The sequence below is a fragment of the Homo sapiens genome, chromosome 22, assembly GCF_000001405.40.
Source record: "Homo sapiens chromosome 22, GRCh38.p14 Primary Assembly".
Lineage (NCBI taxonomy): Eukaryota > Metazoa > Chordata > Mammalia > Primates > Hominidae > Homo > Homo sapiens.
In genome coordinates, this window is record NC_000022.11 from 19,706,682 (window position 1) to 19,725,608 (window position 18,927).

The 18,927-nt window shown below is 62.8% G+C and overlaps 2 protein-coding genes and 2 long non-coding RNA genes across 6 annotated transcripts, besides 12 other annotated features; 3 read left to right on the forward strand and 1 right to left on the reverse strand.

Annotated features, from left to right (window-relative positions):
* Positions 1,964 to 2,471: an enhancer, noted in NCBI's record as "H3K4me1 hESC enhancer chr22:19696168-19696675 (GRCh37/hg19 assembly coordinates)". NCBI's record gives its function as "activates a minimal SCP1, AML or CMV promoter by ChIP-STARR-seq in naive H9 embryonic stem cells {active_cell/tissue: H9 hESC(naive)}" and the evidence as "EXISTENCE:reporter gene assay evidence [ECO:0000049][PMID:30033119]".
* LOC124905079 (uncharacterized) lies at positions 2,309 to 8,114 on the reverse strand. The gene is made up of 2 exons (XR_007068003.1): positions 8,016 to 8,114; positions 2,309 to 3,153 (listed from the first exon to the last, which is right to left on the reverse strand). It is a non-coding gene; the product is annotated as an uncharacterized LOC124905079 (long non-coding RNA).
* On the forward strand, positions 7,822 to 16,638 carry SEPTIN5 (septin 5). 2 transcript variants are annotated; one of them, NM_002688.6, is made up of 12 exons: positions 7,822 to 7,950; positions 8,100 to 8,110; positions 12,921 to 13,017; positions 13,125 to 13,211; positions 13,434 to 13,557; positions 13,639 to 13,773; positions 13,868 to 13,985; positions 14,087 to 14,188; positions 14,959 to 15,055; positions 15,141 to 15,276; positions 15,556 to 15,658; positions 15,747 to 16,638. In NM_002688.6, exons 1-12 carry the CDS (start codon positions 7,908 to 7,910, stop codon positions 15,801 to 15,803), a joined length of 1,110 nt encoding a protein of 369 aa, NP_002679.2. In that variant the 5' UTR covers positions 7,822 to 7,907; the 3' UTR covers positions 15,804 to 16,638. The 2 variants fall into 2 exon arrangements, with proteins under 2 accessions (NP_002679.2, NP_001009939.1); NM_001009939.3 differs by lacking the exons at positions 7,822 to 7,950; positions 8,100 to 8,110 and adding an exon at positions 11,762 to 12,137 and having other exon boundaries at positions 15,152 to 15,276.
* Positions 10,474 to 11,115: an enhancer, noted in NCBI's record as "H3K27ac-H3K4me1 hESC enhancer chr22:19704678-19705319 (GRCh37/hg19 assembly coordinates)". NCBI's record gives its function as "activates a minimal SCP1, AML or CMV promoter by ChIP-STARR-seq in naive H9 embryonic stem cells {active_cell/tissue: H9 hESC(naive)}" and the evidence as "EXISTENCE:reporter gene assay evidence [ECO:0000049][PMID:30033119]".
* On the forward strand, positions 10,539 to 18,093 carry SEPT5-GP1BB (SEPT5-GP1BB readthrough). 2 transcript variants are annotated; one of them, NR_037611.1, is made up of 12 exons: positions 10,539 to 12,137; positions 12,921 to 13,017; positions 13,125 to 13,211; positions 13,434 to 13,557; positions 13,639 to 13,773; positions 13,868 to 13,985; positions 14,087 to 14,188; positions 14,959 to 15,055; positions 15,141 to 15,276; positions 15,556 to 15,658; positions 15,747 to 16,898; positions 17,173 to 18,093. It is a non-coding gene; the product is annotated as an SEPT5-GP1BB readthrough (long non-coding RNA). The 2 variants fall into 2 exon arrangements; NR_037612.1 differs by having other exon boundaries at positions 11,788 to 11,890.
* Positions 11,116 to 11,756: an enhancer, noted in NCBI's record as "H3K27ac-H3K4me1 hESC enhancer chr22:19705320-19705960 (GRCh37/hg19 assembly coordinates)". NCBI's record gives its function as "activates a minimal SCP1, AML or CMV promoter by ChIP-STARR-seq in naive H9 embryonic stem cells {active_cell/tissue: H9 hESC(naive)}" and the evidence as "EXISTENCE:reporter gene assay evidence [ECO:0000049][PMID:30033119]".
* Positions 11,116 to 11,781: a biological region, named in NCBI's record as "H3K27ac-H3K4me1 hESC enhancer GRCh37_chr22:19705320-19705960".
* Positions 11,172 to 11,591: a silencer, noted in NCBI's record as "silent region_13464". NCBI's record gives its function as "represses an Ori minimal core promoter by ATAC-STARR-seq in GM12878 lymphoblastoid cells {active_cell/tissue: GM12878}" and the evidence as "EXISTENCE:reporter gene assay evidence [ECO:0000049][PMID:35858748]".
* Positions 11,602 to 11,781: a silencer, noted in NCBI's record as "silent region_13465". NCBI's record gives its function as "represses an Ori minimal core promoter by ATAC-STARR-seq in GM12878 lymphoblastoid cells {active_cell/tissue: GM12878}" and the evidence as "EXISTENCE:reporter gene assay evidence [ECO:0000049][PMID:35858748]".
* Positions 11,758 to 11,928: a silencer, noted in NCBI's record as "fragment chr22:19705962-19706132 (GRCh37/hg19 assembly coordinates)". NCBI's record gives its function as "represses an EF-1alpha promoter that drives an FKBP-Casp9 reporter gene in an ReSE screen in K562 erythroleukemia cells {active_cell/tissue: K562}" and the evidence as "EXISTENCE:reporter gene assay evidence [ECO:0000049][PMID:32094911]".
* Positions 12,104 to 12,604: an enhancer, noted in NCBI's record as "H3K4me1 hESC enhancer chr22:19706308-19706808 (GRCh37/hg19 assembly coordinates)". NCBI's record gives its function as "activates a minimal SCP1, AML or CMV promoter by ChIP-STARR-seq in naive H9 embryonic stem cells {active_cell/tissue: H9 hESC(naive)}" and the evidence as "EXISTENCE:reporter gene assay evidence [ECO:0000049][PMID:30033119]".
* Positions 12,333 to 12,512: a silencer, noted in NCBI's record as "silent region_13466". NCBI's record gives its function as "represses an Ori minimal core promoter by ATAC-STARR-seq in GM12878 lymphoblastoid cells {active_cell/tissue: GM12878}" and the evidence as "EXISTENCE:reporter gene assay evidence [ECO:0000049][PMID:35858748]".
* Positions 12,605 to 13,105: an enhancer, noted in NCBI's record as "H3K4me1 hESC enhancer chr22:19706809-19707309 (GRCh37/hg19 assembly coordinates)". NCBI's record gives its function as "activates a minimal SCP1, AML or CMV promoter by ChIP-STARR-seq in primed H9 embryonic stem cells {active_cell/tissue: H9 hESC(primed)}" and the evidence as "EXISTENCE:reporter gene assay evidence [ECO:0000049][PMID:30033119]".
* Positions 16,183 to 16,961: an enhancer, noted in NCBI's record as "H3K27ac-H3K4me1 hESC enhancer chr22:19710387-19711165 (GRCh37/hg19 assembly coordinates)". NCBI's record gives its function as "activates a minimal SCP1, AML or CMV promoter by ChIP-STARR-seq in primed H9 embryonic stem cells {active_cell/tissue: H9 hESC(primed)}" and the evidence as "EXISTENCE:reporter gene assay evidence [ECO:0000049][PMID:30033119]".
* Positions 16,858 to 18,090, forward strand: GP1BB (glycoprotein Ib platelet subunit beta). Its single transcript, NM_000407.5, has 2 exons — positions 16,858 to 16,898; positions 17,173 to 18,090. The coding sequence occupies exons 1-2, from the start codon at positions 16,889 to 16,891 to the stop codon at positions 17,781 to 17,783; spliced, it is 621 nt and encodes a 206-aa protein (NP_000398.1). The 5' UTR covers positions 16,858 to 16,888; the 3' UTR covers positions 17,784 to 18,090.
* Positions 16,962 to 17,739: an enhancer, noted in NCBI's record as "H3K27ac-H3K4me1 hESC enhancer chr22:19711166-19711943 (GRCh37/hg19 assembly coordinates)". NCBI's record gives its function as "activates a minimal SCP1, AML or CMV promoter by ChIP-STARR-seq in primed H9 embryonic stem cells {active_cell/tissue: H9 hESC(primed)}" and the evidence as "EXISTENCE:reporter gene assay evidence [ECO:0000049][PMID:30033119]".

Below are 18,927 nucleotides of genomic sequence, written 5' to 3' on the forward strand. Positions count from 1 at the left end.
ACAAAAATAAAAATAAATAATAACAATAATAATAAAAGAGGGTCCGAGAGATACCCTTCACCCCTTCCACCATGTGAAATTATAGAGAAAATATGATCATCTATGAAGTGGGCTCCACTCTCTCCAGACGCCAAATCTGCTGGTGCCTCGATCTTGGACTTCCAGCCTCCAGAGCCGTGAGAAATAAATGTTTATTGCTTAAGCCCTGCAGTCTAAGGAGTTGTGTCATAGCAGCCCAAACAGACTATGACACCCTGTATTCGTTTGCTGAGGTTGCTGCAACAAGGTCCCACCAACTGGGTTGCTTAAATGAGGCGGTAATGATGGAGGGCGTTCAGCCTGCACTCAGAAAGGTCTTTGCAGATGGCTGGAGGCCCTGGAGCCTGGAAGGAGGTGGATCTCAGGAATTTCACCCACACACACACACATATCTCTGGCCAAATCAAGTTCTTTGCCCATTTTTGAATCAGACTGTCTTGTTGATGATGATAGTAGGCTCTCTTTGTGATTCTCAAAAATAACCTCGAGGATCAGGGCAGCCAAGACAGTCCCCTGAGGCACAAGTGGGGCATGGGCCCCTGCCCCATGCTGCAAGATGACTGGGCCCTGGCATGGGACAGGGGCTTCTGAGGATGCAGGGGTCTGTAGTTGGACCCTTGGTTTGACCAGTGTCTGTCACAGTGTCTGTCTGGGAGTCACGGGCCCAGACCCTGGGCCAGAGGTCGGGCAAGGCTTTGCAGGCTGTTTTGGTAGCAAGGCCCAAACCTGGCCAATTGCATGCTGGCCCTGCACCAGAAGAAGGAGACCTGCCCAACAAGGCCCTCACCCAGGCCGAGCCCCTGTGCATCAGCCCTGCCTCCCTCACCCCACCTGCCGTGGCCAGCACCTGCCCAGGGCCCCTCTGCTGGGCTCCAGGTACTCCCCCGAACTCTAAGCCAGCACTCGAGGCCCAGCCCCGCTTTCCTGGCTATGCAGGCTTGTGGCATGTTGATCCCCCAACGTGAAGCCCCAAGGAAAGAGGGTCTCTGCCACCACTCCGGGTGTATGGGGTCTTCTGATCTGTGCCGCTGTGAGATTTGCGGCTGGCAGCTGCAGTGCAGACCAGAGGTACGAGTCCTGCCCTCACCAGTGCCCTCCGCCTGCACCCCTTGCTGGTTGGGAAGTCCTAGAGGGAGGACTGGGTGGCACGCTGGCACTGTCCTGCCAAGAGGGCCACACGCAGCTGCTCACCAGGCGAGAGGGGGCAGGACTCACTCAAGACGGGCCTGCAGCTGAATGGCTGTGAAGATCCCTGGCTGCAGAACGAGCCCTTCGGCAAGAGCCCCGGGGAGGGGACAGAGTAACTCCTTTGCCCTGCAAGGCCCCGCTTGGGTCTCCCCAGGTTCAGCTCCCAGGTGCACCTGATCATGCTTCCTTCTTTGGCTGAAACCTGCTCGGCCACCTCTGAGGGGATGCTGGTCAAAGCATGCAGGGTTGAGGGCTGAGCCTCGTACCTCCTGCCTGCTTTTCCGGTGAGGACAAGGGGCCCCTCCTTTCCTGCAAAAGCAGCCCCTGTCTTAGGGGCTCTGTCTCCTGCTGCTCCCCCATCTCTAGGGGACCCTAAAAGCCTCCACCACTTTAAAGGCAGCCTTTGGAACAAGGAGGGGCAGGAATCCACTTCAGTCCAGGACGTGACAGCCGGCTGGCCACTGGCCACGGAGGTCCAGCGACATGCTTTCCCCAGTCAAGTGGAAGGACTTTGGCGGCATCCTGGTACAGGGTGTGTCTGTCTCCACCAACGGGGAATCCCCTGCTCAGGGCTGATCATGGCTCCAGCCTACAATGGGTGCAACACATGCTTGATGGGAAATGGGGTCCAACCTGGGGCAAATGAGGAGCAGGGCAGAGCTGCCACCACGCCCTGCAAGTGGGAGCAGGAGCCCTCACGCAGGCTGGCCCCGCTCTGCCAATGGCCCTGGCCATGGCACCCGGGGATGGCAGCTCCTCACCCTCCTGACCCACACCATCCGCCCCCGCAGCAATGTGTGCTGTGCATTCTGGGGCAGGCAGAGCTCTGGCTGTCCTCCATGGGAGAGGCGGCCTCTGTGGCGTTCAGTCCGGGGGGCTGGAGAGGACACAATGGCAGGGAATGAGCTGAGACTGGGGTCCTCATCCTCACCCAGGTATGGCCATCACCTGAGGCCTCGAAACCAGGTGATGGGCCGCCAAGTTGAGGGCTCTGGCAACCACCTTCCCCGTGGGAGCCTGGGTGTGCAACAGGCAGTGCATTTGCACGCAGCACCAGGGTCCAGGGAACAGAGGTCCTGAAGACGGGACAGTAGGGTCCTGTTTATTCCAGAGTGATTTTCAGATCTCTCTTGCCTGACTGGGAGGTAGATGCAGTGGGGAGCTGGAGCCAGTCCCTGGAGCCCAGCGCTGAGCTCTTTGTGATGGAGGGGTGGGGTGAGCCGCAGGATCTAGGTCACCGTGCTCTGGCCCTGCTCTCTGCCTTTCGCAAGCGCTTGCTCCCGTGGGATGTTTGTCATGCTTCCATGCATGACACAGGAGAATATCAACATTGGTGCCATTTCACATCTCTTCATTCATCTGCTATTCTTCCACCTTCAGCTTCTCATAAAATCACAGAACTGCAGTGAGGACCTCTGCCTGCCGGGACAGCCTGGGGATGGTCCCGTGCAGCCCCCTCAGGCAGCATCCCTGTGGAGGGTTCCCCTCCGCCCCCTACCGTGGGGAGCTCTTCCCAGCTGAGTCACACTGCACGCCTGGTCCCTACCCTGGGCTGCTCTCTGTGTTATCTTGCAGGCGCCGTCCCAGATCCTTCAGGGGACTCTGAAGGCCCATCAGATGTGGCTGCAGACCCACCTCCCTCAGACCCTCAGCTCTGGATCCAGGCTGGCTCCCTGCCGTGGAGCACAGGCGCCCTTTGTAGCACTCACTCCAGCTGCCCAGGGAATCGGGGACTTGGTGTGGACTGAGACTCAGCCCCCTTGAAGCCCTATTCTGTCCACCGCTGCAAGACATAGGCGGCTTTAAGCAGGACCAGGCCGCACCCTCCAGGCAGAGACAGCTGCTGTGGGTTCTGTGCTCTTCTAATGGGCATGTCTTCCCATCGGTGATGAGGACTGATTTGTGCAGTGACCCCCTTACATTTTTCTGAAAAGGAGATCAAGGAAAACATTCTTCAGTAGAATCCTCACTGTGCACACACTTCCCCTTGTGCTCGGTGACAGCCACTGCCTTTGGGAGCAGGGAGGACGCCCCAGAACCTCCTGGTCTCCGCACACCCCCCTGAGCTGGGCTGAGCACACAAGCACCCCTCTGCAGACAGTAGAGGTTTTGGGATTCAGAATATGCAGTCTGAAGCTCCCCAGAGCCTGGCTCTTTAGTCAGGCCCTCCTTGCCCGCCCTGTGAATCCACGCCTAGGAGCCTGTGCCCCCACCCAGCAGGAGCTGATGCTGCTGAGCTTCCCAGGTGCCAGACAGGGGCTGAGTGTGGGGGCCAGGGAGCCAGTCGGGAGTCTGCTGCCTGGCAGGCCATGTCCTGCAGAAGAGAGGCCAGCATAGGGCACGGTGGGCCTGGAGGGGCTGGAGACAGTGCTGCTGGGTCGGCAGAGCTAGAGAAGGGCAGCCCAGGCAGGGGGCACACTAGTGCCAAGGTGCAGGGGCATGAAGCTGCAGGTCACACGGCCTCCCTCGGAGCCCCCAGGTACTGGGGGTGGGTTCAAATCTCACAGGGTTGGCGGGCGAGGGCTTCAGGAACAGCAGGGACAGGAGCATGAGAGCAGTAGAAAAATGCAGGGGTCAGGAGGATCATCTGGGACCCACCAGGTTGCTGGTGAATTCAGGGGATAGAAGGGATGTGAGCTCAGGCCTCGAGCAGCTGCCTGATTGGGACAGCCCCTGGCTGGGCCGCGACCAGGTCACAGCACTTTGCAGGAGTCAGGCCTGGGCTCCACGGTCGTGGGTTCTAGTCTCGGCTGTTTAGTCTCAAGCAGATCTCCACCGCGCCCTGACCTCCACTTCCTGCGTCTACTCAGGGTGAAAAAACACCCCATTCCCAGCACAGGTCAGGGTTGCCCGAGTTGATCATGCAGGTAGGCCTGTGGGGCTCTCAGGTGCCTGACACCCTGCATGCATCTTGGCCTCTTCCCTCATCCTCAGCCTCAGATGGACTGAGCCATCTGGAACCTGTCAGTGGTGGCCTCAGCCCTAACTGCAGATGACAGGCTTGGGAGTGTGGCGACATGTGTCACCTGGAGCAAACTGCTCCCCCTCTGAAGCCTGTCACCCACAAGACCTGCTCCCAAGGGCCAATGGCAGGTGCCTTATTCTTTCGTCGCCATCACCGTTGCCACCTCCCCACCAGCTCCATCCTTCTCCGGGTCCCAGCCCTGGGGCGCTCACTCCCCTGTGTGCTGAGGGAGGCCCAGCATGGTTCAAATGCAGCCTCTGGAGAATTTCTTCACTAAGAGGCTTTTTCTGAAAAGAGTCAAGCTATTTGTAGCCCAAGTTGGTTGAACAGATTTTTCTTGGTGTAGCTTATTTTTTTATTCATTAACTTCTTTTCCTTATGAATTAAAAAATAGCATTTTTTTTTCCACAAAGGAGTGCTTTATTTACTTCTTTTTGTACCACAGCCAGCGCTTCCTCTGCCTGCTGGGGAAAGTGGATGCACACACCCACTTTGGCAGGCAGTTTTCTTTCAAGCCATGGCATCTTGGAGAGGTAAGTGTGTGTGTTCAGACCACTGCCCTGTGGCTCCAGCCCCCCTGATATCAGCCACAGCCCCAAGGCTTGGGTGTTGTTTGTTTGTTTTTTCATTTTTTTTGAGACAAGGTCTCACTCTGTTGCCCAGGCTGGAGTGCAGTGGCACCATCACGGCTCACTGCATGCAGCCTCAAACTCCCAGGCTCAAGTGAGCCTCTGGCCTCAGCCTCCTGAGTAGCTGAGACTACAGACTCATGCCACCACAGCCAGTTTTTTTTTTTTAATTTTTAATTTTTATAGAAACGGGGTCTCACATTCTTGCCCAGACTGGTCTCAAACTCTTGGCCTCAAGTCATCCTCCCACCTTGGCCACCGAAAGTGCTACAATGATAGGCGTGAGCCACCAGGCCTGCCTGGTTGGCTTTTTGGTGAACAGGAGCATAATAAGGGTTTCACTGGGCTGTCAGCCTCCATTGTGGTGGCCAGTATCTCAAAGCCTCACCTGGCAGAACTGGAGACGCGTCTGCTGACCGATGCCCTCATGACCCATTTTCCTGACTTCAGAAATGTCCCATGCAGACACTATGCCATCCAGCAGGCCTCCCAGCTAGACAGGGTGCAGCCTCGATGTGTCTGTGGAGGGACTCGGGCTGTCCCTGCACTCACAGTCATGGTGACCAAAGTCCCAGAGTAAGGGAGCAGATGCCGCTTCCCCCTTCCAGCCCAGGCATTTTACATGAGGCGCTGACCCAGGACCACCCTTGACTTCACTCTTCCAAGGAGTGGCTCCCAGTCCTATATATTCCATCAGCCTCCAGGCTGGCTGTCCCTTAAACACTGGTCTCCAATCTAACTGCATTTCTGTAAGTAATCTTTTGGGACAGACTTTTTTAAAAAAGATCATGTTTATGCCGTATTCCTCATCTTTCTTGTCTTCTATCTCCAGATTTGTTTTAAAACCTATTACTCCTGTATACATGTGCCTCCCACCCTTTGAGCTATGCCCTTGACCTGCTATGCACTTGTCTCAAGGCCAAGTTCAAACCCCCTAACCCAAGGCTGTCCAGAGCTGCCCTGCCACCTGAGCCATGGGGAGGGGCGCTGAGCTGGTGCCTTTCACAGGCTGCCTGCCTCCCCCTGGGCAGGGCTCCTGTCTCTCCTCCTTTGTCTCCACAAGCACAGGCTTGCATGGGTCAGCACGTGGTGAACAGCCAACCATCATTTTCCAATTCTTTCCAAAAAGTCCTGTCTATGCTCAGAAGTCCTGCCTGGCCCTTTGAGTGCCCCTACCCCCACACACACATTCTTTTTTTTTTTTTTTTTTTTTTTTTTTTGAGACGGAGTCTGGCTCTTTGGCTCAGGCTGGAGTGGAGTGCAGTGGTGCGATCTCGGCTCACTGCAACCTCCGCCTTCTGAGTTCAAGTGATTCTCCTGCCTCAGTCTCCTGAATAGCTGGGACTACAGGCATGTGCCACCATGCCTAGCTAATTTTTTGTATTTTTAATAGACGGGGTTTCACCGTGTTAGCCAGGATGGTCTTGATCTCCTGACCTCAACACACATTTCTTTATCGAAATTCCAAATTCTCCAAAGCTCAGAAACATAAAGGTTTTTCAAAACTCAGTGGCAAAGCTGGACCTGAACGATGCGCCATCACTTACTGTCTTTATTTCTTCCAGTTCACCTGAATACATATGTTTTGCCCCGAAAATATAAATGGGTCTGATTATGAGGAGCAGCCCCAGGTTCCAAAGAGGTGCCACATAATGTATGATGTATACAAAAAAGCCTGAGTTCCAAACACATCTTGGATGAGAGGTTGGGACTGTGGGGGATCCCTACACTGGTTAGAGTTCTAGACCCAGAGCAGGGTTATGGTCAACGGCGCTCTGGCCACAGAATGCAGCAGAGCAAGGACTGTGGAACAAAGACGCGGCTTACATGAATTTTTCACTTACCGTGCTGGGTGCTGGTGATTCAGAGATGGAAAGGCCCTAGCGACACCCCCCTCCACCCAGGGAGCCCACGGGCCAGCAGAGGGACCAAGGGGCACAGGACGGGTGGGGAGCAGAGGCGGATTCCCTGGCTGTGGAGGTACTGTCTATACGGGGTGCAGGAGACATCTCCATACAAGGGGGCCCTCACCTGGGGAGGTGGTGACCGCAAGCCTGACAGCCCCAAAGCCTTCAGAGATGCCGCCTGGGGACACTTTGGGAAAGTCCAGGCGGAGGACACCTGGGAATGTGATAGTGACACAAATGACCGGAGAGACTTGCTCTCAGTCACTGAGTCTGGCTGACTCACTGAAGATTAGGGCCTGAACTTCCCCCTCTGTAAATGGGGTGCAGGCCCTGGCCCTGCCTTCACAGTGCCCCTCGGTCCCCTACAAGCCTTCTCCGCAGGGTGGGATCGGGTCTGCCTGGAGCATCCCCACAGCCTATGGGTCAGCAGAGAAGCAGGCGCAGAGCTGGGGTGAGACGGTCAGGGCCGGTCCTGCCAGACACCTCAGATCACTCCTCTTCACAAATAATCCCATTTTACAGCCCAGGAAGAGAGAGGCCGGACCACTGCCCAAAAGCCTGTGGCCTACAGCCTGCCAGGTGCGTCTGCTCGCAGAGCAGGTCTGCGCAGCACCGAGCGGTCAGCAGGGGCAATGCTGGGCACTGGCCAGCCGCGCCAGGACCATCCCTGCTGACCTCGGCGGGGTGGGGCGGAGCGTGCAGGGTCTGGCCCGGAAAGCCAGGGCAGGCTTTAGAGAAGGGCCACCGGACGGATGGTCCGAGGACCGGCATGGACCCGGGTCCCAGCGAGGGCGGGGGGAGCGTAAGGCTGGGCCTGGGCTGCGGCACCGGGGAGGTGGCGGGGAGGAGGCCGGCAGGAACAGCCGTGCAGGGCGGGGGCGGCGCGGGTCTGGTCGGGTGACCCCGGGCGCGGCCAGGGCTGTAGGAGGCGAGGGCGTCGCCCCGAGGCCGTGGTCTCGGGTCCATGGTGGGGGACCTGGGTCCCCGCCCCCCCGGGCCGCCCTGGGTCGCGCGTGGGCGCGGCGGGCGCCGATTGGCTGCCGGGCGCGCGGGCGGAGCGGGCGGCGGCGGCGGCGGCGCGGAGGGGCCGCTCACCCCGCAGCCCGGCCTCGGCCTCCGCCGCTTGTCGTCGCGCCCCGCCCGCGAGCCCGCCCCGCACGTCCCCCGCCGGCGGCCACCATGAGCACAGGCCTGCGGTACAAGAGCAAGCTGGCGACCCCAGGTGAGCCCAGCGCCTGCCCGCGTGCCCGCGCGCGCCTTTGTCCCCGCCGCCCGCGCGCCTCTCACCGTGTCTCTCCGTCTCTCCCCCGCCCGCCGGCCCGGACCCGCTCGGAACCGGACCCGGACTCGACCCCGACCCCGACCCCGCAGAGGACAAGCAGGTACGTGCGCAGCGCCGCTCCCCCGCCGGGAGACCCGGCCGGCTGTCACCCATTGTGACACTAGCGCCTTGGGCGCCCAGGCGCGACCCCGCCCCCGCCGGCCCTCACCCAGCCCTGTCGCGATCACCGATTGTCAGCCGGGCAGTGCCGCCGCGCCTGGGGCTTCAGAGGAGAGGAGTGGGGGCCCTGGTCCCCGGACCCGCACAGCAGGGACCCTGCGCCCCTCCCCAGGATGGGGGGATGGGCAGAGTGTCCCCCTCCCACAGGGCCAGTGCCAGCATCTCCTGCTGACCTGGCCTGTAGGCCATGAGCTGGGGGTCCTGGGTGAGGCCATGGTCGTGGCAGGCCACGCTGGGGGAGGGGAGTCAGGCTCCATCAGCCAGCACAGTCCCTGAACAGCCCTACAGCAGAGGGCCTGTGGTCACCACCCACCTCCCCTGCACCTTCATGCCCCTTTCCCTCCCCATACACAAATTTGAGTGTTCAGGTCTGCAACAGGGACTCTTCCCCAGATTGGGAACCCCCAGGGTCTGGTCTGAGTCATTCTGGGTGCCCAGATGGGTCCTGGGACCCTGTGGGTACAAATAGGCTTGTGGCTTCTCAAAAGGGTTGGCCCCACCCTCCAGGAAAGCAAGACTGGACAGGAGGCTGGTCTAGGCACCTGGGTGAAACCCAGCCGAGCTCAGGGTTAAACAATGCTGTGAGGCCCCTGGGGTGGGGCGGGGGCTGACAACCAGGTGGGCTGGGGGGGCTGGGGAAAGCCTGCTGGTGTCCTCTCTGGCTTGAGCTCAGCCATCTTTGGAGGAAAAAAGAAGAGCCCAATTCTGGCACCAGGGTGGCACTGGCAGCCCCCATCAGGGATGGAGTTTCTCAGGAGCCATGGATGCTGAGTGGAACTCCAGAGTCCTGGCCCAGGGTGCAGCAGGCAGGGCAGGAGGGCGGGCAGGGGGGCCAGGAGCTGGGGGAGTCACTGGCTGACCAGTGCCATTCTCCTGGAAGGGACACACCCCACCCAGAGGTGGATGAGGCTCTCTGGGAGGGGCCCCTTGGGGAGCCAGGCTGGGAGCTGCCTCCCCATCACAGCAGGTCAGACAAAGCCTGAGATGCAGGGACACATGCGTCAGGCTACTGTTTGAGGGAAATGGAAGGAACTGAGGCTGGGAAAGCCAGGAGGCCAGGCCCCTGAGGCTTCTCCTGTGCCTGCAGGTGTCCCCAGCTTGACCCAAGGGCACTCTGAGACCCTGGGCTCCAGCCACTGCTGTTGGGTGCAGCCAGGTTCTCTTGCCCATTACTGCAGGGTGGGGACCCCCTCCTGCTGAGGTGCCCATCGTTTGAGGTCAACCGGGAGTCCACCTCACCCCATCCCAGGCCTCCCAGGCCTCCAAGCCCAGAGGAAGAAGGCACTGTGTGGCCAAGGAAGGGAGCCCCGGAGCAGGAGCCAGGCCAGGTGTCTGGGTGACCAGTGGGTCTGGGGGAGCTGGAAGCACATGGCAGCTTCCCTGCTACCACCGTTGCTGAGCCTCAGCCTGTCCAAGCATTCTTTTTGCTCTTTGAAAGGGGGCTGTAGAGGCATTGGGGGAGTTCCGTCACTACGCTCTGTGCCCCCACCTCCTCACAGGCAGCACCGGTGATCTCTTGGCCCTGGCTGCTGCTCCCAGAGCTGACTCGGGTGATTCTAAGAATGGAAGTGCCAGAGAGGCTCAGGCATTGGGAGGAGATGGGCGCAGCTGTGTCATATGGCTCAGGAAGCCCTGGGAGTATCTTTTGTCACTTGGGGACCAGAGAAAGGGGGTGGCAGGTACGGCCCCTTCCTTGAGGCTCCCCCAGGGAATCCACAGGCCCTGACTGGGCCCCAGTGGGTGGCAGGGCAGGTGGGTTGAACGCTGAGAGTGAGATTCTTGCCCTCCTGACCTGGGCCTCCCCAGAGGCTGTGCCTTACCAATGGGGAAACTGAGGCAGGCAGTCTGAGAGCCACACACTCTGTTAGACACCTCCTAGCCTGAGGCCTAGGCCCAGGGCTGTCTGTCTTCCTGGAGATGCCCTGGGCCTGAGATGCCAGCCTGTCTGGGTGGGTGCTGGGCTTCGAGGTGTGGACCCTCAGTTGGAAACTGGGTGGGACTCAGCCTAGAGGCTTCCTGCAGGTCAGGGCCATGGAAGGCTGGGGCCAGTGAGGAGGCTTTCTGGCAGCAAGGACTGAGGGATGCACTGGTAGAGCTGGGGGGCCTGGAGCTGCCCCCTTTCCCTGGGATGAAAGGCTCTCCTGTTCCCAGCTGTGGGCCTGCCCCTCCTCCCCAGGTGCCAGTGGTCCAGGCCCCACAACAGGACCAGGGCCTGGACAGGAAGTGGAGGAGGTCTCTCAGCCAGGAGAGCCTAAGGGAGGGCTGGTGGCGGGTGGGGTGGGGTGGGGTTGGGGCCTCCAGCTTCTAATGTTCTAATGTGCAGGGGCTTGGCCTGACCAGTCCTACCCTGGAACCTTTCCAGGCCCCATGTCCTGCTCCGCTGGGCTTGCCTGTTGGGATTCTACTGGGGTCATGGAGGTGGGTGGCCCACAGAGCGGAGCTCGGGAGACCCCCGCAGTCCCTGGAGTAGCCACATGGGAGGGAGGCCCGGCTGGCAGGAGCTCCCAGTCCCTCCAATCCTGTGGGTCAGAGCTGGTGAGGATGCTCAGAGGGCAAGGGAATGTCCACAGAAGCACGTGGGAGATGGGTCCCATCCCACCCCCACCCCTGTCTCTGAGGGCAGGGCCACCTGAGGGCTGCAGGGCAGCGCATGGGTGGCCGGCGTTTATTCAGCAGGCTGGCGGGGGCTTCCAAGTTTTGCAGGGACCTCCAGTACTCCGGCAGCCTGCACCCTTCCTTTCCCTTCCCTTCCCTTCTGTCCACCCTAAGCCTCCTAGGGGACAGGCAGGCTGGACTTCAGAAAAGGTGGGCTCTGCCCTCCTCCGGTCCCCCGAATGTCTTGGGAAAGAGTCCACCAAACACACATGCACACACCCGCGCACACGCACATACCCAATGCATGCACACACGTACACACACACGCATACACGCATGTATACACGCGCACACACGCAGGCATTACACACACACACATTACACACACACACCCGCACGGACGCGCACACACAAACGCGCGCACGCACGCACGCACGCACGGGGGAGGTCAGCCCCAAGCAGGGCTGGGGAGGGGTGCAGGGCGCGGCGTGTCTGTGGGCACTTGGGGCGTCGAGACGCCGCCGGGAGGTTTTCGGGCAAGTCTGCGAGAAGACGGCGGGCCCTGAACTGGGCGGGTACCCGCGCTGTTGCGCGTGGGTCCCGGGAGCGGCCTCCGGCGCCCTCTGGCGGGCGGAAGCCGCGCAGCACCTCTTGGGGGCGGGACGCGCGGTGGCTACCGACTCCCGGCCCGCCCCGGCCCGCGTGCAGGACCCGGTCGTCCCCTCCTGCTGTCCTGGAGCCCGGACTGAGGCCCCGGGGGCGCGGCAGGGCTCCCGGTCCACGCGAGCCATGGCCCGACCGCGCCTCGGCTCAGCCCTGCCCTCCGCAGCCGCTTTCGGGTGGCTCCGCCCGCGGCCCAATTTCCAGGCGACCGTTTCCCGGCGACGGCGGGCGGGGCCGTCTCTGCCGCCCCCCGCCGCGCGCTCCGCGGGCGCCTGCGACGCCCCGCCTCTGGCTCGGGTGCGGGAGCGGGGCCTGCCCGGACTGCGACGCCGCCACAGCTTGGGGCCAGTTCGCCCAGTCAGGGGGATGGCTCGGTCGGCCTCGGGGGTCGACGATCCCCCGGGTAGGCGACGTGCCCTGTCCAGGCCTCACTTCCCGCGTCCGCAAAACGGGGTGGACAACGCAGCCTAAGGCAGAGCCGCGCCAAGGTCCCTCGCTGTCGCCGGGCTCTGGCGGCCTGACCGGGCCTGGGGTCCGAGCGTGCCCCCGGGCCTGGGGGGGTCGCCGCGATGGACTCGCTGGCAGCGCCCCAGGACCGCCTGGTGGAGCAGCTGCTGTCGCCGCGGACCCAGGCCCAGAGGCGGCTCAAGGTGCGTGTGTGGAGAGGGCGGAACGTGGGTCTGTGACCCCGCGGGCTCCGGGACTCGGCATGGGGTCCCCGTCCCCGCGCGCCACGGCCCGCCAGCGCCTAGGCTCAGCCCTTCCCTCCGCAGCGGCCTCGCAGGTCCGCGGCCCCACGGTGGGGCGACGTGCCCTGTCCAGGCCTCACCTCACGCGACTCCAAAACGCGGCGGAGAATGCGGCCGTGGGACCCCTCCAGGGGCCCCAAGGGTCTGCGGGGGCTGGGCGCCTGGGCGCGCGGGCGGGGGAGGCTCGGCGCCGCGGTCTATAAATAGGCGCTGCTCCGCCACCGCCGCTGCCGCCGCCCCCGCGGCTGGATCCGGGCCAGGTGGGGCCTCCCGCCCCCTGGCACTCTCCGGAGGGGTGAGTGTCGAGGCCCCCAGCTTCTCCGGCTTATGGAGGGCCTTGAGTGTGTCCCAGGGGTCCCAATCCTGCTGCCCTCTGCCCGAGGAGGGAGGACATCGCCTGTGCCTGCTGCGGCCTGACATCTCCCCACGGAATAAATACAGTGTCGGTCCCTGCAGAGCCCTCCCTGGGATTGGGGCCAGGGGTGCCTTCTCCTGCCACCACCTCGCCTGCCTTCTTATCTCCAGGCTTTTGCCCACGGGCCCTCCCCTTATTTTTGCCAACGAAATGCCCCACCCTGGGAACCGTACCCTCTGCTGTCTCCTCATACCGCATTTGGTAAGAGACAGGGTATTGGGCTTCTGGAGAAACCTTTGTGTCCCTACCCTGTTCCATCCTGTCCCCAGGACATTGACAAGCAGTACGTGGGCTTCGCCACACTGCCCAACCAGGTGCACCGCAAGTCGGTGAAGAAAGGCTTTGACTTCACACTCATGGTGGCTGGTGAGTGGGCCAGGCTCCTCGGGGGAGTGGCTGGGGTCACTGGCCAGCCAAGCTCTGTCGTTGGAGCCCCAGACCTAACGCAGCTCCTTCTCTGTACCTGTGTGCAGGTGAGTCAGGCCTGGGGAAGTCCACACTGGTCCACAGCCTCTTCCTGACAGACTTGTACAAGGACCGGAAGCTGCTCAGTGCTGAGGGTGAGTGGCCCCCAGGAGGCCCTGGCACTGATCCCCAGTCCCCTTCCATGGGACCTCTCCAAGGACTCCCTTTCAGGTCCAGCTCCCACTGTTCTGTTCTCGCGGTGTGGGTCCCCTGGGGGTAGGGCCAAGGCACCAAGATGGATGAGGACGAGGGTCCTGGCTGCCAAGGGTGAGGGGCTGAGGGTTGGAGAGGCCCTTCCAGTGGCCCCTTCCCCGTAGAGCGCATCAGCCAGACGGTAGAGATTCTAAAACACACGGTGGACATTGAGGAGAAGGGAGTCAAGCTGAAGCTCACCATCGTGGACACGCCGGGATTCGGGGACGCTGTCAACAACACCGAGTGGTGAGTGAGGCCTGCTGAGAAAGGCCTTGCCTAGGCGGCCACAGCACTCGAGGCCTGGCCTCACCTCCCTCCTGCCCACAGCTGGAAGCCCATCACCGACTATGTGGACCAGCAGTTTGAGCAGTACTTCCGTGATGAGAGCGGCCTCAACCGAAAGAACATCCAAGACAACCGAGTGCACTGCTGCCTATACTTCATCTCCCCCTTCGGGCATGGGTGTGTGGCTGTCCTGGGGCCAGGCTCGGGAGTGCAGCCCCTACAATATGGCCCCCTGGCTGTGCCTATGCCCACCCTTGGCTGCTCTCGGCAGGCTGCGGCCAGTGGATGTGGGTTTCATGAAGGCATTGCATGAGAAGGTCAACATCGTGCCTCTCATCGCCAAAGCTGACTGTCTTGTCCCCAGTGAGATCCGGAAGCTGAAGGAGCGGGTGAGCCTGCCGTCGCACAGGGGCCTGGCCAGGGCCCTGGGGCTGAGAGTACCAGGGGGACTTGTCTGGCCTCAAATCTGATGGTCCTTGCCCCACCACAGATCCGGGAGGAGATTGACAAGTTTGGGATCCATGTATACCAGTTCCCTGAGTGTGACTCGGACGAGGATGAGGACTTCAAGCAGCAGGACCGGGAACTGAAGGTGAACATGCAGACTGGTGGGGCAGGGGGGATGGAGCTGGTGAGGGGCAGAACCAGAGGGCTTTGTCTCCTTCACATTGAGCCTGCTGGAGGAGGGCCAGGTCAGCCCAGTTGGGTGCAAGAGTCATTTGTTCTAGGAGTAGAGGACCTGTACCCCCTTCATCCAGGGCTAGAAGGTAAAGGTCACCATGTCTTTGCCTGGCTGGGGTGGGTCATGTGGGCCCCGTGTGGTGCTTGGCAGGTATGGAGCACTTGCCCAGATCCAGAGGTGCAGCAGTGGGCCAGGCCCCCAACCCCAACCCTCTTCCCATGGGTCACCAGAGGAAGGGGCTGCCCCAGTGGCACACCCTGGCTCCCAGATTTCTGAGCTCCAGGGTTGGTGGCTTTGGGTGCCCCGGCAGCTAGAGTGATGATGGAGACCATGCCAGGGGCAGGTGGCCACCAGGGCAGGGGCATCAGCATGGGGAGACATAGGCTCAGCCCTGGGGAGGGAAGGGGCAGCTGGAGGGGGTGGTTCTTGATGAGGGAGGAGATGAGGAGGGAGCATGCCTGGTTGGGCATAGCCTGGAAAGGCCCTGGAATGTGAGCCACATGGGCTCTGGCTCCAGCCAGGGGCAGAGAGGCCAGAAAGGGGCAACGCCAGGATCTCTTTGAGGAGAGATAGTTGATGGTGATGCTGGAGGGGTGCCCCGGGAGTTACATGCCCGTTTCCCATCAGTAACCGTGCAATTACGCTCACCGGGTGTGAGCCTTTCTCCCTCCTTCCCCCAGGAGAGCGCGCCCTTCGCCGTTATAGGCAGCAACACGGTGGTGGAGGCCAAGGGGCAGCGGGTCCGGGGCCGACTGTACCCCTGGGGGATCGTGGAGGGTGAGTAGAGTCTTGGGGTACCAGGTCTGGTGGGGGAAGGCTGTCCTGGGCCGGCGCCAGCCCACTACCCACCCCCACCCCGCAGTGGAGAACCAGGCGCATTGCGACTTCGTGAAGCTGCGCAACATGCTCATCCGCACGCATATGCACGACCTCAAGGACGTGACGTGCGACGTGCACTACGAGAACTACCGCGCGCACTGCATCCAGCAGATGACCAGGTGCGCGCCCCAGCCGCGAGCCAGACCTCGCCCCTCTGGCCCCGCCCACGTCTCCATAACTGAGGGCCGGTCCTGTCAGCCCACCCAGACTTGAACTTTGCACCATTCCCTAAGCCCCCCCCCTCCCCCAGAGCCTGGTCTCCCTAGAACCAAGTCCAGGGCTGTGAGGGCTCCGGAGGGCAGGGCCTCAGCAGTGGCGGGGATGGGCCAGGCATCGCCAGCCCACGCTGAGCCTCCCGGTGGCGCCGCCCCGCCCATCCTCCCCCCCGCCCCGCGCAGCAAACTGACCCAGGACAGCCGCATGGAGAGCCCCATCCCGATCCTGCCGCTGCCCACCCCGGACGCCGAGACTGAGAAGCTTATCAGGATGAAGGATGAGGAAGTATGTGGGGCGGCGGGGGCGGCGGAGGCGGGCGTCAGGGATGCTCCTCCGCGGTGCTGCTCACCCGCCGGGTTGTCTCCGCCCGCAGCTGAGGCGCATGCAGGAGATGCTGCAGAGGATGAAGCAGCAGATGCAGGACCAGTGACGCTCGCCGCGGACACACCGTCCGTCTCCGGGACGCCCTCGCACCCCTGGACACCAGACCGGACTGTTCCCGACCCGGAGACGCGGGGCCACAGCCCCCAGCTGACCCTAATTTATTCTCAGCACCACCCCCTCCCAGGTCATTGTGTCTGTTTCCGAGGGGCCTGGACCGTAGCCCCCGCCCAGCTGGCCCTCTCTGACCTTGGGGGATCAGGAGCGAAGTTGGGCGGGACTTCAGAGATCCGCCTCCCTTGCCCTTCCCCCGCCCCCGGACGGTCACAGCACCCAAACCGCAGGCCCTGCTCTGGCAGGCAGGCAAAGCTAGGCAGAAGAGGATTCCCAGGATCCTGGGTCTGTTCCCTGCCCCAGTGCTGCAGAACGGACTTGGGAGCCCTCCTTTGCCTGCTCCCGCGGGTCACCCAGCGAGTGCTGAGACCCCATTTTCTGTCGAGGCGGGCCGAGTCTTCCCTTATCCCCAGACGCCTAGCGGGCAGGGTTGGGCTGAATCAAATGGGAGCCCTCCAGACATAAGGAGGCCAGAGGCTGCAAGGAGCGGGGTCGTGACCGCTTACACCCCTTCTCCACAGCCCGGCCCGACCTGGAGGGCCCCCGGGGCACTGGGCGGTGAGCCACCTCCTGGCAACTCTCGGTGCCGTCCCCTGCCCTCGCTCGAGGCCTCTTCTCCCCAGCACCGCTGTGGTGTGCCGGGATCCTGAGCCTAGGCCTCCCGATGTTCCCACCCGCATGATCCCTTCCCGCCACACGATGCTCCGTTTTCTTCCGTTGTGAATGCCGCGTCCTGTCCTGGTGACAGGAGAACAATGTTGGTGAACGTCGCAGCGGGTGTCCGAGTGCTCCGTGTGCCCCTGAGAGCGGGTGGGAGCGGAAGCCTGAGCGGCCTGCGGCCTCCGGCGATAGTGTGCTATCTGCCGCTGCAGCGCGCGTCCGCGCGGCCTCTGGGCTATTTCTGGCCAGGCCGCAGCACTGTGGTCGGTGCGGGCGTGGCAGGGGCGGGGCGGCCTTATCGCTCGGCTCTCCCGCCTACGCCTCCCGCTGCAGAGTAAGCCGGGCTGCCGTCTTCTCGCCATGGGCTCCGGTGAGTCTGGAGTCCGGTCGGGCCCCCGGCTGCTCCCTAGGCCGACCCGGGTTGAGAGGAGCTCTGGTCGTTTGGCTGCAGCTGGGAGAGACTTGGGTCAGACTTAGAGGGGACTTCCAGCCGGCGTGCGGGGTGGTCAGGGTGGAGAGGCTGGCGGGCTACCGGGACGCCGGGCATCAGGGGCTGGATGGAGCCGGGCCGGCAGTCTGGGTACTCAGAGATGTCGCCCAGGTGCCCGCCGACCGCTCGGCTTACTGCGGCGCTTCCCTTGCAGGGCCGCGCGGGGCGCTGAGCTTACTGCTCCTGCTGCTGGCCCCGCCGAGCCGCCCGGCCGCAGGTTGCCCGGCGCCCTGTAGCTGCGCGGGGACGCTCGTGGACTGCGGGCGCCGCGGGCTGACTTGGGCCTCGCTGCCGACCGCCTTCCCTGTCGACACAACCGAGCTGGTGCTGACCGGCAACAACCTGACGGCGCTGCCGCCGGGGCTGCTGGACGCGCTGCCCGCGCTGCGCACCGCACACCTGGGCGCCAACCCCTGGCGCTGCGACTGCCGCCTTGTGCCGCTGCGCGCCTGGCTGGCCGGCCGCCCCGAGCGTGCGCCCTACCGCGACCTGCGTTGCGTGGCGCCCCCAGCGCTGCGCGGCCGCCTGCTGCCCTATCTGGCCGAGGACGAGCTGCGCGCCGCTTGCGCTCCCGGCCCGCTCTGCTGGGGGGCGCTGGCGGCGCAGCTTGCGCTGCTGGGCCTTGGGCTGCTGCACGCGTTGCTGCTGGTGCTGCTGCTGTGCCGCCTGCGGAGGCTGCGGGCCCGGGCCCGCGCTCGCGCCGCAGCCCGGCTGTCGCTGACCGACCCGCTGGTGGCCGAGCGAGCCGGAACCGACGAGTCCTGAGGAGAGAACCGGTGCGTCCTGAGGAGAGAACCGGCGCTGGGCAACACGGGCCTGCAAACTCGACAGGACCCTGCCCGAGGGGCCCTCGCGCCAACCTGGACCGGTCCCCGCCTCCTCCGCTGCCCAATCTCTCAGACCCACCCCACCTGCAGGCCCAGACCACGTGGGACAGAACTCCTGCCCACCCTACCCCGAGGGAGGCGAACCCGCACTTCCAGGCTTGGGAGGACCATGGGGCACAATGCGGTCCAGACCCTGCTGCGTCTCCCTTCCAAACTCTGGTGCTGAATAAACCCTTCTGATCTGGTCTTCTCTGCACGACTGACCTGGAAATTCCCCTCGCCAAACTCAGGAAAAGGCCCCAGGAGGCGGTTCAAGGGGACACAAACACATCCTCACATGCCCACCCTAACCTCAGGGGCAGACAGGAGTCAGTGGGTGACCTCTCCCCTTCCAGACACACTCCCAAAAGGCCACATGGGAAGGCATGAGAGAGATGCTAAGTGATAACGTGGGGGCCAGTGAGGACGTTGTGGGGACACTGAGGACCCTGTGGGGGCAGTGAGGATGCTGTGGGGATGCTGTGGGGACAGTAAGGACACTGGGGGCAGTGAGGACGCTGTGGACACTGCGGACGCTGTGGGGACAATGACGCTGTGGACAGTGAGGACGCTGTGGGGGCGGTGAGGACACTGTGGAGTGAGGACACTGGGGGCAGTGAGGACGCTGTGGACAGTGAGGGCGCTGTGGGGGCGGTGAGGACGCTGTAGGGGCGGTGAGGACGCTGTGGGGGCGGTGAAGGCGCTGTGGGGATGGTGAGGACGCTATCCGGGGCGGTGAGGACGCTGTGGACGGTGAGAACGCTGTGGGGACACTGAGGATGCTGTGAGGACGCTGTGGGGGCAGTGAGGACGCTGTGGACCGTGAGGACGCTGTGGGGATGGCGAAGACTCTGTGGGGGCGGTGAGGACTCTGTGGACGGTGAGGACGCTGTTGGGGCAGTGAGGACGCTGTGGACCGTGAGGACTCTGTGGGGGCGGTGAGGACTCTGTGGACGCGGTGAGGACGCTGTGGGGGCGGTGAGGACGCTGTGGACAGTGAGGAGGCTGTGGAGACAATGGGGACGCTGTAGACAGGACGCTGT

What these genes read in the sequence shown, in the direction of transcription:
- SEPTIN5 (NM_002688.6), top strand. Translation starts at nt 7,908, where the DNA reads ATGAGCACAGGCCTGCGGTACAAGAGCAAGCTGGCGACCCCAG. An exon ending in GAAGCTGCTCAGTGCTGAGG is followed by an intron (nt 13,212 to 13,433) that starts GTGAGTGGCCCC and finishes CCTTCCCCGTAG; the next exon opens with AGCGCATCAGCCAGACGGTA. An exon ending in TCCGGAAGCTGAAGGAGCGG is followed by an intron (nt 13,986 to 14,086) that starts GTGAGCCTGCCG and finishes GCCCCACCACAG; the next exon opens with ATCCGGGAGGAGATTGACAA.